Source organism: Homo sapiens, chromosome 5, assembly GCF_000001405.40.
Source record: "Homo sapiens chromosome 5, GRCh38.p14 Primary Assembly".
In the NCBI taxonomy this organism is placed as follows: Eukaryota; Metazoa; Chordata; class Mammalia; order Primates; family Hominidae; genus Homo; species Homo sapiens.
The window spans coordinates 115,804,172-115,817,001 of record NC_000005.10 but is presented as its reverse complement, the minus strand read 5'-3'; the positions used below and the strand labels follow the sequence as shown (position 1 = coordinate 115,817,001).

The 12,830-nt window shown below is 40.9% G+C and overlaps 1 protein-coding gene across 10 annotated transcripts, besides 1 other annotated feature; it reads left to right on the top strand.

Moving 5' to 3' along the window:
- Positions 1 to 342: 342 nt before the first annotated feature.
- Positions 343 to 12,269, top strand: CDO1 (cysteine dioxygenase type 1). Of its 10 annotated transcripts, none has more exons than NR_136618.2 (7): positions 343 to 774; positions 3,744 to 3,821; positions 5,687 to 5,841; positions 7,305 to 7,380; positions 8,309 to 8,552; positions 10,484 to 10,653; positions 11,540 to 12,269. NR_136618.2 is itself a non-coding variant. In XM_047416628.1 (7 exons), exons 2-7 carry the CDS (start codon positions 2,810 to 2,812, stop codon positions 11,567 to 11,569), a joined length of 597 nt encoding a protein of 198 aa, XP_047272584.1. In that variant the 5' UTR covers positions 343 to 2,415; positions 2,518 to 2,809; the 3' UTR covers positions 11,570 to 12,269. The 10 variants fall into 10 exon arrangements, 6 of the variants coding, with proteins under 6 accessions (XP_047272584.1, XP_047272585.1, NP_001310494.1 ...); XM_047416628.1 differs by lacking the exons at positions 7,305 to 7,380; positions 8,309 to 8,552 and adding exons at positions 2,518 to 2,916; positions 3,048 to 3,104 and having other exon boundaries at positions 343 to 2,415; NR_136621.2 differs by lacking the exon at positions 8,309 to 8,552 and having other exon boundaries at positions 343 to 418.
- Positions 6,676 to 6,970: a silencer, noted in NCBI's record as "tiled region #14872; HepG2 Repressive non-DNase unmatched - State 23:Low". NCBI's record gives its function as "represses a minimal TATA promoter and a strong SV40 promoter by Sharpr-MPRA in HepG2 cells {active_cell/tissue: HepG2}" and the evidence as "EXISTENCE:reporter gene assay evidence [ECO:0000049][PMID:27701403]".
- Positions 12,270 to 12,830: the final 561 nt, after the last annotated feature.

Sequence of the window (12,830 nt, the reverse complement as noted above, 5' to 3'; positions counted from 1 at the left end):
CCATCTCCTCCGACCCTTTTTGTCTACGTCCCAGCGTCGCGAACCACAGCGGCGGAGGTGGAGCGGGGAGAGGCGTTAGGCCGGGCGGCTAAAACGCGCCGTTAAAGTGGGGGAGAGATTGCGCGGAGCCCACGCGATCCCTGGGACGCCGGAGACAACGGGGCTCTTGGGAAGGCGCGGAGCCCGGGGAAGCCGGGGATGTGCGCGTGAGCCGTGCCCGCAGGGTCTCCCCGCCTCCGCCACCTTTCTTGGGTGGCTCTCCGCCTCGTCCTCCCTCCGAGGGCCGTTGGTACATTCCTAGTGACTCCAAGCGCTTAAAAGGGGCCCGGGAGGATGAACCCCACAGATCTGAACCTGATTTGTGTGTGCACCGCGTCTCCAGCGATCCCGGATCCACTGCGCTGCCAGGGGCCTGGGGGTGGGTCTCTTGCTGTCTCTGCGACGACATCCTTACGTTTCGGCACTCTAATGCTGGGTTTGTGCGTGTGTGTCTGCTTAGCGGTCTAGCGGGCTGTTAGGCTCCCTCGCCCCCAGCTCCTTGGCTCGCTCAGCTCCTCCACCGCAGCCCAGCAGTGAGACGCGCGCGCAGCCAGCTCCCCACGAGATGGAACAGACCGAAGTGCTGAAGCCACGGACCCTGGCTGATCTGATCCGCATCCTGCACCAGCTCTTTGCCGGCGATGAGGTCAATGTAGAGGAGGTGCAGGCCATCATGGAAGCCTACGAGAGCGACCCCACCGAGTGGGCAATGTACGCCAAGTTCGACCAGTACAGGTGAGCGCGCTGCAGCTTCAATGCCAGGCGGCGCCCACTCGCCCCGTCTGAGGAGGAATGGACGTGGGGGACGCAGCCCAAAGTGACTGGCTCGGGAAGCTCGGGCCGCGCTGCGTCCGCCGCTCGCCCCCTCGCTGGCCAGCCGCGGGGCTGGCACGACTCGCTTGGGGCTCCGCGGCCACAGCGCAGGCGGAAGGTGGATCCTACTGGCCTTGCTGACCTCCGGCCGGGAACGGCGGACAGGCGCCGGGAAGGGAGGCCACCGCGCGTCTGCGAGATTTTCTGTTCTCTTCTCTCCCGCAAACCCCTCTGCTTCTAAACCACCAGTCCTCCTGCCCCTGGCCTCGGGAGCAATGCCCACACTCCCAAGCCATCGTTAACCCCGGGCGCGGAGATGCGGAGAGACCGCACTCAGGTTCGGGCCCTCCTGACACCTTAAGGAACCGTCTGGCCGGACTAGCAGAGGGTGCTCCCAGGGGAGCACTACATCAGCCATCGGGAGAAGTGTGTGATGTTGAAGAAGACAAGTCACCCGCGTCAGTTCTCCATCACTGCGCCTTCGGTCGCCTGCAACCGGGCACCTTATAGCAAGCATTTTTACTCATGTAAAATAGCGTCTTGTGGCCGTCAGCTGCCACTACGGAATTTCTGCTGTTCCCTTTCCCAAACCAATTTAACTAACTTCCCCGACTGTGGGTTTATTCAAATCCACTGCCAAGTTTCGCAGATTAAATATTCGACCGTCGTTTTTTTCAGCCCCCAAATGATCTGATTTATCTTATCCTTGCTTCTGACGATCTGTAATGTAAATTAAAGACCCCTACTTCCCAGATGTACTTGAGTGAGGTGCCCTGGTAAGCTGGCTTTTTTGCAGCCCCGGCTTGGTGATTAAGTCGAATCTCTCTACCAATCCTCCGGGGCCAGAGGTAAAATTTAATCACCCCGAAGTGTGAGAGGTTCTACTTTTTCTGAGCAGTTAGTGCGTCAGTCTTTGTGGTTTTTTGGGTTTAGGGTTAGGAGAAAGGGGTAAGTGAAAGAAAAGAATAAGGAAAGAAGTAAGTTTGTTTTTCTTGGGAGCAGGTTCTTTTAGTCACTCTTCAACATGTGGGATGTTTCGTAAAGTTTTGTTGGCATGGGCGGTTTCAACTGTATTTTAGGATTTGAAATAGAAAAAGTGAAGACCACTAAGGATCCCATTTTTCATATACAAGTGACTTGAGGAAATTCCTTTGGCTCCTATCAGCTTAGTTCATGGTAGAGCCCTTCTGTAGCCGTGAAAGCTAGCAGAGAGTCTAGCTTTTAAATTTTCTTGCATTTGCTCCAGGTAATTGAAGACTTGTTATGGGACAGGTACTCTTCCAGACACTTGACACATATGAGGAATGGCAGGCAATGAAGAAGTTGAATGACTTGCACTAGGTCTTCTATCGATAGCGGCTCCAGGCTCCCGGGGTTAGCATTGTTGTTCCAGAGCCTACACTCTAAACCACTGTTAAACCAGGACAGGTTGTAACAGTTTTTAATCTTTAATCTTTAGAACAAGTGTATTTTCAAGGACCTTGAACTAGTCTCGATTGACAAACTCTAAAGCTTTTGAAGTGCAACCAGCTGGGTTGATCGGTCTTTTCACAGATATCTGAGGTACAGCTCATTAACATAATGGATGTAGTCCCGAGGGGGCAGTTGGGGGAAGACAGGAGATGGGAGAGAAGTCAATTCTACAGTATTTTTTGCATTAAATAGGTGCCTAGCGCTGTGAAGGATTCTGTTCTCTGACTTTGGGAGGGCCAGTGCAGAAGAATCAAGACAGAATATGCTCCCGTGTGGGCCAGGCTGTGAATTCTTTGAAAGAAGCTGCAGAGAAGCAACAAAGATTATCCTAAGACTTCTGGAGGAAGAATTAGGATCCTTCTGCAGGAACTCAGTTTACTGTGAATTGAAGGTTGTGTACACAGCTTCTTGTTAGGTCATAAAGGCTACAAAGTAGGGAAAACTGAGGCTAAAAAGCACTTACTAAGTAACTCCCTCTAGGATCATGCTCTTCGGACACCTCGGGGTGGGGAGGAATGGGACAGGATGGAAGGGGCATGCTGGACAAGAGTTAACCGATGACGAAGGGAAAAAAAACTCCCAAAAAATGGAGTAAAGACCCCTTTTCTTTAACATGACAGTCTAAATGAATGTCATAATTATGAAACTTTGCTAACTAGATGCTGTCAACAGTACACCTTGGACCAATAGAAACTTTGACGTTGATTTTGCTTTTTTCACAGTCGTGGTCGTGGTTTGCAGTTTGTTGTTGGTGGTGGCAGTGGTGGTGGTTGGTTGTGGTGAGTGTGTCTGTGTGTATGTGTTTGCCAGTTACTGGTTTCTCCTAATTGTAAGAGGTTTAGAGGGTTCTTTACTTCACTAATGTAGTCTTCTTTGTTCTGGTAGTTAGATCAGCCCCCACGGTATTTGTGGAAGACTTTTCATTATAAGGGCTTTTGAATGTGGTTTGTGTCTAGGCTTTAGTAAAACTAAGAATTCTAGAACAGCTATTTAATGAAACCTTGTTTCTCAAGTCTTGATTTAGCTACAGGCAGAAAAAAGAAAAAAAAAAAAACAATAGCAACATTCTTGCCTCAACCAGTAATGCACTTTGGAAATACTTTCTCTGAGAAACTTACTCCATCAGTTTGAGGCTGTCACATTGAGAAACATGCAATTTCGGTTTTTTTCCTGTTATTTTTCCCGTGCCATTAATTAAAACTGAGCAGCTACCTCTGTAAATGCAGCGGTTCAAAATGAACTGTGAAAAAGGATTTTTCATTTGTGTTGGATTTCTAATTAGAAAACTGCATTCAAAGTTGCTTAGAGGTGGAAATGTTAACATTTGTGAATAAATGGTACTTGGTGACACACTTATTTTTTCCAGTGCTTGTTTCAGCAACGAACTTAAAACTTCTGAATATATTGTTTTTTTTTAGGTATACCCGAAATCTTGTGGATCAAGGAAATGGAAAATTTAATCTGATGATTCTCTGTTGGGGTGAAGGACATGGCAGGTAAAATAACTATTCATTCACAGATATTTATTAGAGCATGTTTTCTAGCATATGAAAAATATAGTACCAGGCTAGCCACAGGTCTTACAAGTAGTAACAAATCTCATTTTTTTTTTTTTTTTTTTTTTTTTTTGAGACAGTGGTTCACTCTTGTTGCCCAGGCTGGAGTGAAATGGCATGATCTCAGCTCACTGCAACTTCTGCCTCCTGGGTTCAAGCAATTCTCCTGCCTTAGCCTCCTGAGTAGCTGGGATTACAGGTATGCACCACCATGCCTGGCTAATTTTGTATTTTTAGTAGAGATGGGGTTTCACCATGTTGGTTAGGCTGGTCTCGAACTCCTGACCTCAGGTGATCCACTCACCTCGGCATCCCAAAGTGCTGGGATTACAGGTATGAGCCACCACACCCAGCCCTCATTTTCTACTTACTTGTTCACAATGTTCCCTAATCCCAACAAAAATTATCAATGGAATTAGCACAGGGCATTCAGGCATACACTACACATATTAAAACCAGCCCCCAAAATGAATAGTAAATCAAATGAGGTAAGTAACCCCCTTAAGTTAACCATACTCTGTTTTCTGTGCAGTAAAACTTTATGTGAAATTGTGTTTACACTTGACATTTGTGGTGTTTGAGGTGTGTAAACAATCGTGGGACCAAAGACCAAAGGATGGAGATTTGAAGCTAGAAAAGCATTGCAAATTCAGAAAATTTCTTTCTACTTCAAGTTAATTCTTTAGTTTCTTTACTGAAAAGGCAACTTATACTGATTCTTTGAAACTTAGCTCCTTAATTTATCTTTAGTTTCACGTTTGACAGTCTTATTATCAACTAAGTATTACTCTCTTTTGAAACATACCTTTCTCAGTCTTGAGAATGGTAAAAGCAATAATTTAGATCCATTTTTATGAAAGAAAACATGAATTTATAAGTGTTTGGAAAGTTAGGTCTGTAGAGTGCATTTATTTACTCATATGGAATGAAGTGTTTCCATTCATTCTCTCAATATTTTTGAAAGCACATTATGTCCAGAGTGGGACTAGACTCTGTGGATTTAGGAAACAAATTCTTTTTATGGTACATATATAAATTAATAAAATTCAATAGATGAAATGAATACCCAAAATGTATATAGATACATATATTTTAATTAACCCTGTAACCACGACTGCTTCATATACTTAAATACTATTCACTCTGAGATTGCATAAATAAATCCTTTGTTTCCTCAAATCCAATTAACTTTTTCCCACCAATGTTGGAAGGTAATCACAGGTAGAGCACTGTAAATTGACACAATGTTAACATTTTATATACAGTGTAACTTTAGGATGGTAATACACATATAGATACCTTCTCTCCCACAGCTCCCCAAAGGAAGGAGAAAAGACAAAAGCCTTGGGGAAAAAACATTAAATGTTAAGTGGATCTTCTCAGTGTGGTACAATTACTATGGATGATTGTCTTAATCCTTTCTAAAATTTCTCTAATGTACTTTCATAATCAAATTCTAGCCCAGTTTAAGTGAGTTATATGTATTTGGGGGAAGATAAAGTGTTGCTGGTTTTGTGTTTCTGTTATCAAAGTAGTATAACAAAGTTAAAAAAACTGTTCATTAGTAGGGGTATGCATCAAAATTGTACCTTTTATATGAATTGATATAGATGATATATTATTACTTTACCCTGAACATTGTTGAACTGTAAGTTGATAACATTTTAAAAATTCAGCTGAAATGGATTTTGGCTGGGGAGATAGCTTATTGACAGTATGCAGGTGTCAGTTCTGGGAAGACTGTTACTGCAGGTCTGGATACTAGACCATCTACTGAGTTCAGTTGTCATTTTGTGTACATATAGCAGTATTCATGATCATACCAACTCCCACTGCTTTCTGAAGATGCTACAGGGAAATCTAAAGGAGACATTATTTGCCTGGCCTGACAAAAAATCCAATGAGATGGTCAAGAAGTCTGAAAGAGTCTTGAGGGAAAACCAGTGTGCCTACATCAATGGTAACATCTTATTCTTTTTCTAAGGGCAAGTGGGAAGAACCATGACCTTTTGTCTGAAATATTGGTTACTTACACTTTTTATGCAGTAGAACCTGGATCATGAGTCATGATTTAAAATACTTGGGAAATGACTTAAACATAGCAGGTTTTGTTTTTTAAGCCTTTGTATCTTGGTTGGAATCACTTATTGAAAACATATGCATGCAGATCAGTATCCACTGAAAAGTCATTTACTTGCCAAGACTTAAGACAGTTAAAATAAAATATGAATTTACTTCAGTGGAGTCTTTCAACAAAAGAGATCAAGTTGGAAACATTAGCCTTGTGTTAGAAAATAGAACAAAATGTTCTGTAACTAATTAAGAATGCTAGCTAGTCTCTGTTTTTCTAAAATACATATAGCATACCTAAAAAGTATCCTCGAGGGAAATTTTACAAAGCACGTTATTGGCCAGTGATTTATACATATCTTACCAAGAATTCCTTATCTTTTCTAAATGGGATATGGGATAGCCAAATACTTTTCAAGAGAGGCAGTGATTAATTTCCATATTCCTAAAAGGAACAGTAACTTTCCAAAAAGCTCATTAAAATGTATATGAGACAGATAGATAGTTTTTTATTCCCTTTTACGTAGGAGGTTGCCAACACATAGGAAGATTAAACAATTTGTCCAAGGTTACTCAGCTTTTAAGTGGCAACCAGAATTTGAACCTAAGCAATTTGATTGAAAAACCTATGTTCTTCATCAGCATGTACCCCACCTATATAAAGTATTATAGAGCTTTGGGGGATTTTTTTTTGGCAAAGCAAGTTTTTTTCTCCATAAATCTTACTGGCCTCGATATTTGGCCTATATACAAGTCACTTGCAAAGATCAAATTGTATGGGAAGTTGTCGCTCATTCACATAACACAAGGATGTTAGTTTCCTATGTGGCAGGAAGCTCTGATTCATTTACCCAAATAATGTGAGGGTTGCTATCTATAAGGCACACCAGATTTCCAAGAAAATTCTGTTGTCTGTACATTCACAGTAAAGCTTTCAGAATAATTTCAGAAGTAAAGCATTCACACACCTTTCAGAATAATTACTTTCAGCTGGAGTCAGAGTGCTTGTGAAAATAGATCAGATCTTTAAGAATAGGTAAGCTTTTTAAAGGTCTTCAATGCAAAAACCTATAGAATCTCAACAGATAAGGAAGTGGTATACATCAGGGATAAAGCTGTGGTGAGGCCTGGTATGAACTGGAGTATACAAGCCTCATATTAAGGTGACAGCAGTGGCCACCCAGCTCCAGTGAGATCAACCTGGTTTCTTTTTCCATAGAAGTTGGAAATTCTGGGTTTTATATGAAATTTTGCCAATTATTAAAATATTCGGTGGGATATGTTAATTATTTCTGTAGACTAATTACCCAAATAACTTAAAAGCCACAAATTTTCAACCTCTGATTCTTACAGATGCAGGAGTAGGGGTGGAGATGGATAGTGATCAGGGGGAAGGATGTTGCAAGTACAAGGAAGAGCACAAGTGAAGGTACAATTGTTGTAAAAAATGGAAACTATTCAAGCATTGGGGGAAGGAAAGAAAGAAGAATGGGTTTGGTCAGTGGATTAGCAGGAGAGTAAAGTGAGCTCAGGGTATGGGCCTGCAAGACCAGCTAAAAGTAAGGACTTTCTTTGGTCAGCAGAGTTATAATTGGGAATATCTTGATCGATTTGGTGGCAGCATGCAACATAGGGTGGAGGAGAAGGGAGGACTGGGGCAAGGAGACCAAGTTGCCTATTGTAATGAGCAAAAGGTCGACCGGGCCTGGACCTAACTCTGCTTCATAAATACCCCCAAGAAAAGTCCAGTATTACTGTGACAGAGGGTACACCATGACCATAAAGGAAAAAGAAGCAAAGATCAAAATATAATAATAATGCCTGGATTATTAATAGGAGCTTCTCTAAAGGATGGGTGTCTTGTTTTTGCAGGGTCTTTGCTTGCAGGATTGTCAGCATGCATTAGATGATGCGTGGACCTGCAGTGTTGAACATTTGTTCAAAACTGTGCTTTAGCCAGTATATTATGAACACAACAAGCTACAGGATCAAAGAATTTGCAGATCTGAGAATTAGGCACCAGTTTTAGAAATAAGGAAAATGAAAGATCCTAGAATGTGTGGCTTGTTCAAAGATAGCATCGCTAATTACCTAGAAGTAGAACTTAAGTCTTCTGGTTCTATGCTTCATTCTTCTTTATGATGTGCACTCATGGAGCTAGATCATAAAGAAGAAAGCACAAAGCCTCATGGGGTGCCTACATTAGTTATGCTAAATTCATTACTTGATTAATCCCTGAAACTTTCTTGTAACTGTGTAAGTTTATTAACATTTTTTAATTGAGTATTTCATCTCGTTTTTTTGTTTTGTTTGTTTTGTTTTGTTTTTGTGTGTGTGTGTGTTTAATCTTCTTGAAGATCTCTCTCCCAGGGCCTCTTGACTGCTTCAGCACAGATTCGTTGATCTCTAGGCCAGGGGTGAGCTGTGATCCTGAGATTCCTTACAATGTAAGGCTTACATTCTCTCAAGCTTTCCCTTTGCTGTTTCCTGTGGCTGGATCCCCTCTTTACTGATCTCATGATTTTTTTTCATTCTTGGTTGATGCCCTTGTTTTGGTGGAGCATATGCTCCAATGGCTCCACAAGAAAGGATCCATGGAAGGTAAATTTTTGAGACCCCATATATTTAAATATCTCTATATTCAACTCCTACAACTTGATTGATAATTTAGCTGGGTTATGGATTATCACCTGATAAACATCTTCCCTCAGAACCATGAGGGTAATTCCTTTGTCTTTTAGTTTCTAGTGTTCTTATCAAAAGCCTAGGGCTGGCCGGGTGTGGTGACTCACACCTGTAATCCCAGCACTTTGGGAGGCTAAGATGGAAGAATTGCTTGAGCCCAGGAGTTCAAGAACAGCCTGGACAACATGTTGAAACCCCATCTCTACCAAAAATACAAAAATTAGCTGGGCATGGTGGCAGGTGCCTGTAGTCCCAGATACTTGGGAAGCTAAGTGGGAGGATCACTTGAGCCCGGGAGGTGGAGGCTACAATGAGCCAAGATCCCACTGCTATACTTCAGCATGGACAGCAGAATGAGACCCTGTTTTTGTTTTTTTTGTTTTTTTTTAAAAAAACCTGGTCCCATTCTGATTTTTGAATCTTTCTATTTTCTTTCTAGAAACTTTTGGGATCTTCTCTTTTGGTGCCTTCTCTCTATCCTCAGTATTCTGAAATTTCACAGTGATGTATCTTGTTTGATGACTCATTCATTGTGCTGGGTACTCAGTGGGTTTTTAAATCTGGGAATTCGTGTCCTTCGACTCAGGAAAACATTAACAGGTTATTTCTTTGAATTTTTTTTTAATTCTGTTTCTGAAACTCCTATTTAGATATTAAACCTCTTGAACTGTTCCTCTTTTTTTTTTTTCTCTTTCTTTTCTATTTTCTGTCTTTGTCCTTTTGTTCTTTGAGTCTTCCTCAGCATTTCCTGCCAACCCTTTTCTGGTTTCTGTTTCTTCAACCTCTTTTTGTTTTATGGTCCCTTTTATGGTATTTTCTCTTATTTCTAGGAAAACATTAATGATAGGTTTTTGAACACTTCCCCTGAGTAGTCTCTGTTGCAGGTTGCTTTTTTGTTTGCTCTGCCCTCTGTCTTTCATACTAGAGGCCTTGCTCAAATGTCTGGTGACCTTGGCAATGTGCTAATATTTAAAAACCAAGAACAAAAAAATTAATTGGTAACCCTGAACATGAGTGGAGCTTGTCAACTGGATTTCACTTTTTGATAGTCTGGCAGAGACTTTTTCTTCAGGAACTTCCAGCGACAATATCTTTAAAGCTTTTTTCTTGAGCCAATCAGATTCTCTGAGAAGTTGCTTCCTATCTTCTGCCTGGAAAGAAAAATCTTGTCTGGCAGCATTCTCGCAGCTAGGTGATGACTAAAGCAGGGATTTTTACCATTCAGTATGGAAGCTTTTGTTTAATTCACCTGTTTTTCACCTGATTTCCATCAGTCCCAAGTTGATCTCTTACACTCTTTCTAGAGACTAGACCTTACTCTGCTGCTGAAAAGAAAGAAGAGAGAGAATTGGTAAAAGGGTTTTGAGACTCTACTTCATAAACAAGCTTTAAACCAGTTCTTATATCTACAGCCTATCTTTACCCTCATTTCCAGAAGTACCTGGTGCTGTCAATTCCTGTGCTATTTGGAGTTTCAAGATATAAATCAGGTTATTTCTTGGTTTTCTCCATGGATAGCTTAGGATTTAGCTTTCTCTGCTCTGTAAAGCTATCCATCTTACTTTCTAAGCTTTCAAATTTTTGTTAGTGTTTTCTCTTTTCCTATTTTGTCTTTGTATATTGATGTCTTTTTTATTTTTTTACTGCCATTGGAGAGGGTTTTCAGGAAGGAGCAGAGGCTAATGCATGCGTGTCACTTACTATCTTTAACTGCAAGTTCAATTCTAATTAATATCTATTCCATTTGCATCACAATTGATTCATGATCTCAGATGACTCACAGAGATTTTACCTACAGCTGTTATCTAGGCTCCTTTATCTATTTTTCCTTCCCGGATATTGTTTAGATTCCATTGGCTTACATCGAGTAGAGAACATCAGCCATACGGAACCTGCTGTGAGCCTTCACTTGTACAGTCCACCTTTTGATACATGCCATGCCTTTGATCAAAGAACAGGACATAAAAACAAAGTCACAATGACATTCCATAGTAAATTTGGAATCAGAACTCCAAATGTGAGTATAATTTCTTCTAGGTTTAAATGCTCTGTAGGTTGGCACTGTTACACTGCATGTATGCAAAGAATGAGATGAGTCTTAATTCATGGATAAGGCCCAATATATCTTGATTGTTTTATTTAACTTTAGCGACTATCTTTTCAATTTATTTTTAAAAACTTATTATGTTAGATCCAAACATTAGTTGAGAAATTTCAAAATGTATGCTTGTTTTTAAAGAAAATGTTTTCATTTACTTGGGAAATGAGAGTGAAAACTATTATTTGATATAACTGTTACTGCCATGACTTACTATGCATAGGTCTAATTTGCTGGGCCAACAGGGATAAGTTGCATAATTAACCTTTGTAAAGGTTATTCTGATGATATAACTAAAGCAAATTGTCTGTTTTGTTTGCCAATGTTGCTTATTCTTAGAGTTGTTATGCCATTTATACCACAAATAAGAATAGACTATACTAACATGTTCCTCCTTGAGAAACAAGCATTTCCTACTAAAAATAAAAAGGCAACCAACACTAATATAGCAGGGCAGTCTTCTACCTCTGAAATAAGTTTGTCATTTAGAGGAATAGTCTTTAATTATCAGAATATCCAGAAATAGACAATGTGTGAAAATGGAGACCAAAGCAATCCTTGAGTCTTAATGAAAGCGCAGCCTCTGAGGGAAGCCAGGGCAGAATTTTCTCATTATCGCTCCGCTTCATCTTTATCTTCCACATTCCAAACCCTAAGAGATATTCTTATTGCGGGAAAAACAACAAGGCTCCCTTGCCCTTGCTGAGTTTTCATACACTGCTACAAAAGCAGAACTATTTAGAAGGAGTTAAAATGTCTTTTGTAAAGTTTCTTACACAGCTTTCTTTTTTTCCCTTTTTTACAGGCAACTTCGGGCTCGCTGGAGAACAACTAAGGGGCACCAAACCCTCTGAGGTTTTACTTTAAGGTTCGCTGTATGTTTGCCTTGGACAAAAAGGCTACCTACCACGTGCTATCCAGTAATATACTTAAATAAGCCAATACTTAGATCTACTGTAAGGCAGATGCTAATTATAAGGCATTAAGTAAGCAAATAGTGCCCTCAGCTACTGCAGAAGAAAAGTCCCACTGAGGAAAAGAAAGTCTTGTGATTTTTAAAGGCAAGTTTTCAAGTGCTCTCATAGTTCTATCCTCTAATTCCATTAAATCCATACTAGGAGCGTCAGTGAGGGTTTTCATAGCTTTTGGAAATACTTTGGTCTCTGAACTGTAATTAGCAAGAAGTAAAAACAGAAACGTCAAACGTCAAATGTTTGCTTTGTTACCTGGAGGACTAAATGTAGATGTCTTTAGTATACTTTGTATGTTCTTAATATTGGAAGATAATTTTGTGAATCTGTAGATTTTATTTTTTCAGTCTTACCTTACAAATTTCTTTTCTATGAATAATAGAGGAACTTACGGCACTCTGCCATTTGTTAATGAAAGGAAGTGCAGAGGATTTAGAAAAGTACATGATCCCCAGACCACAACAAACCAAAACATAAACTCATGTCTGTGTCCCATGGTCATAGTCAAAGATTTTGTACTGCTAAAATTACCAAATAATTTAAATAAAGTGGATTTGAACACAATTTGAAGGTGTCTTTCTGATTAACATGATAGAAACTTCACATAAATCAGTTTCTTAGATCTAGATATACAAAAGCACTGTGACAAATGGTTTTTTTTTTTTTTTTTTTTTTTTTTGAGACAGAGTCTCACTCTGTCGCCCAGGCTGGAGTGCGGTGGTGCAATCTCGGCTCACTGTAAGCTCCGCCTCCCGGGTTCACGCCATTCTCCTGCCTCAGCCTCCTGAGTAGCTGGGACTACAGGCGCCTGCCACTGCACCCGGCTAATTTTTTGTATTTTTAGTAGAGACGGGGTTTCACCGTGTTAGCCAGGATGGTCTCAATCTCCTGACCTCGTGATTTGCCCACCTCGGCCTCCCAAAGTGCTGGGATTACAGGCGTGAGCCACCGCGCCCGGCCATTTTTTGTATTTTTAGTAGAGACGGGGTTTCACCATTCTATGGTCTCGATCTCCTGACCTAGTGATCGGCCCGCCTCGGCCTCCCAAAGTGCTGGGATTACAGGCGTGAGCCACCGCGCCCAGCCGACAAATGCTTTTATGATGTAAGAATATGAGAGAGCCAA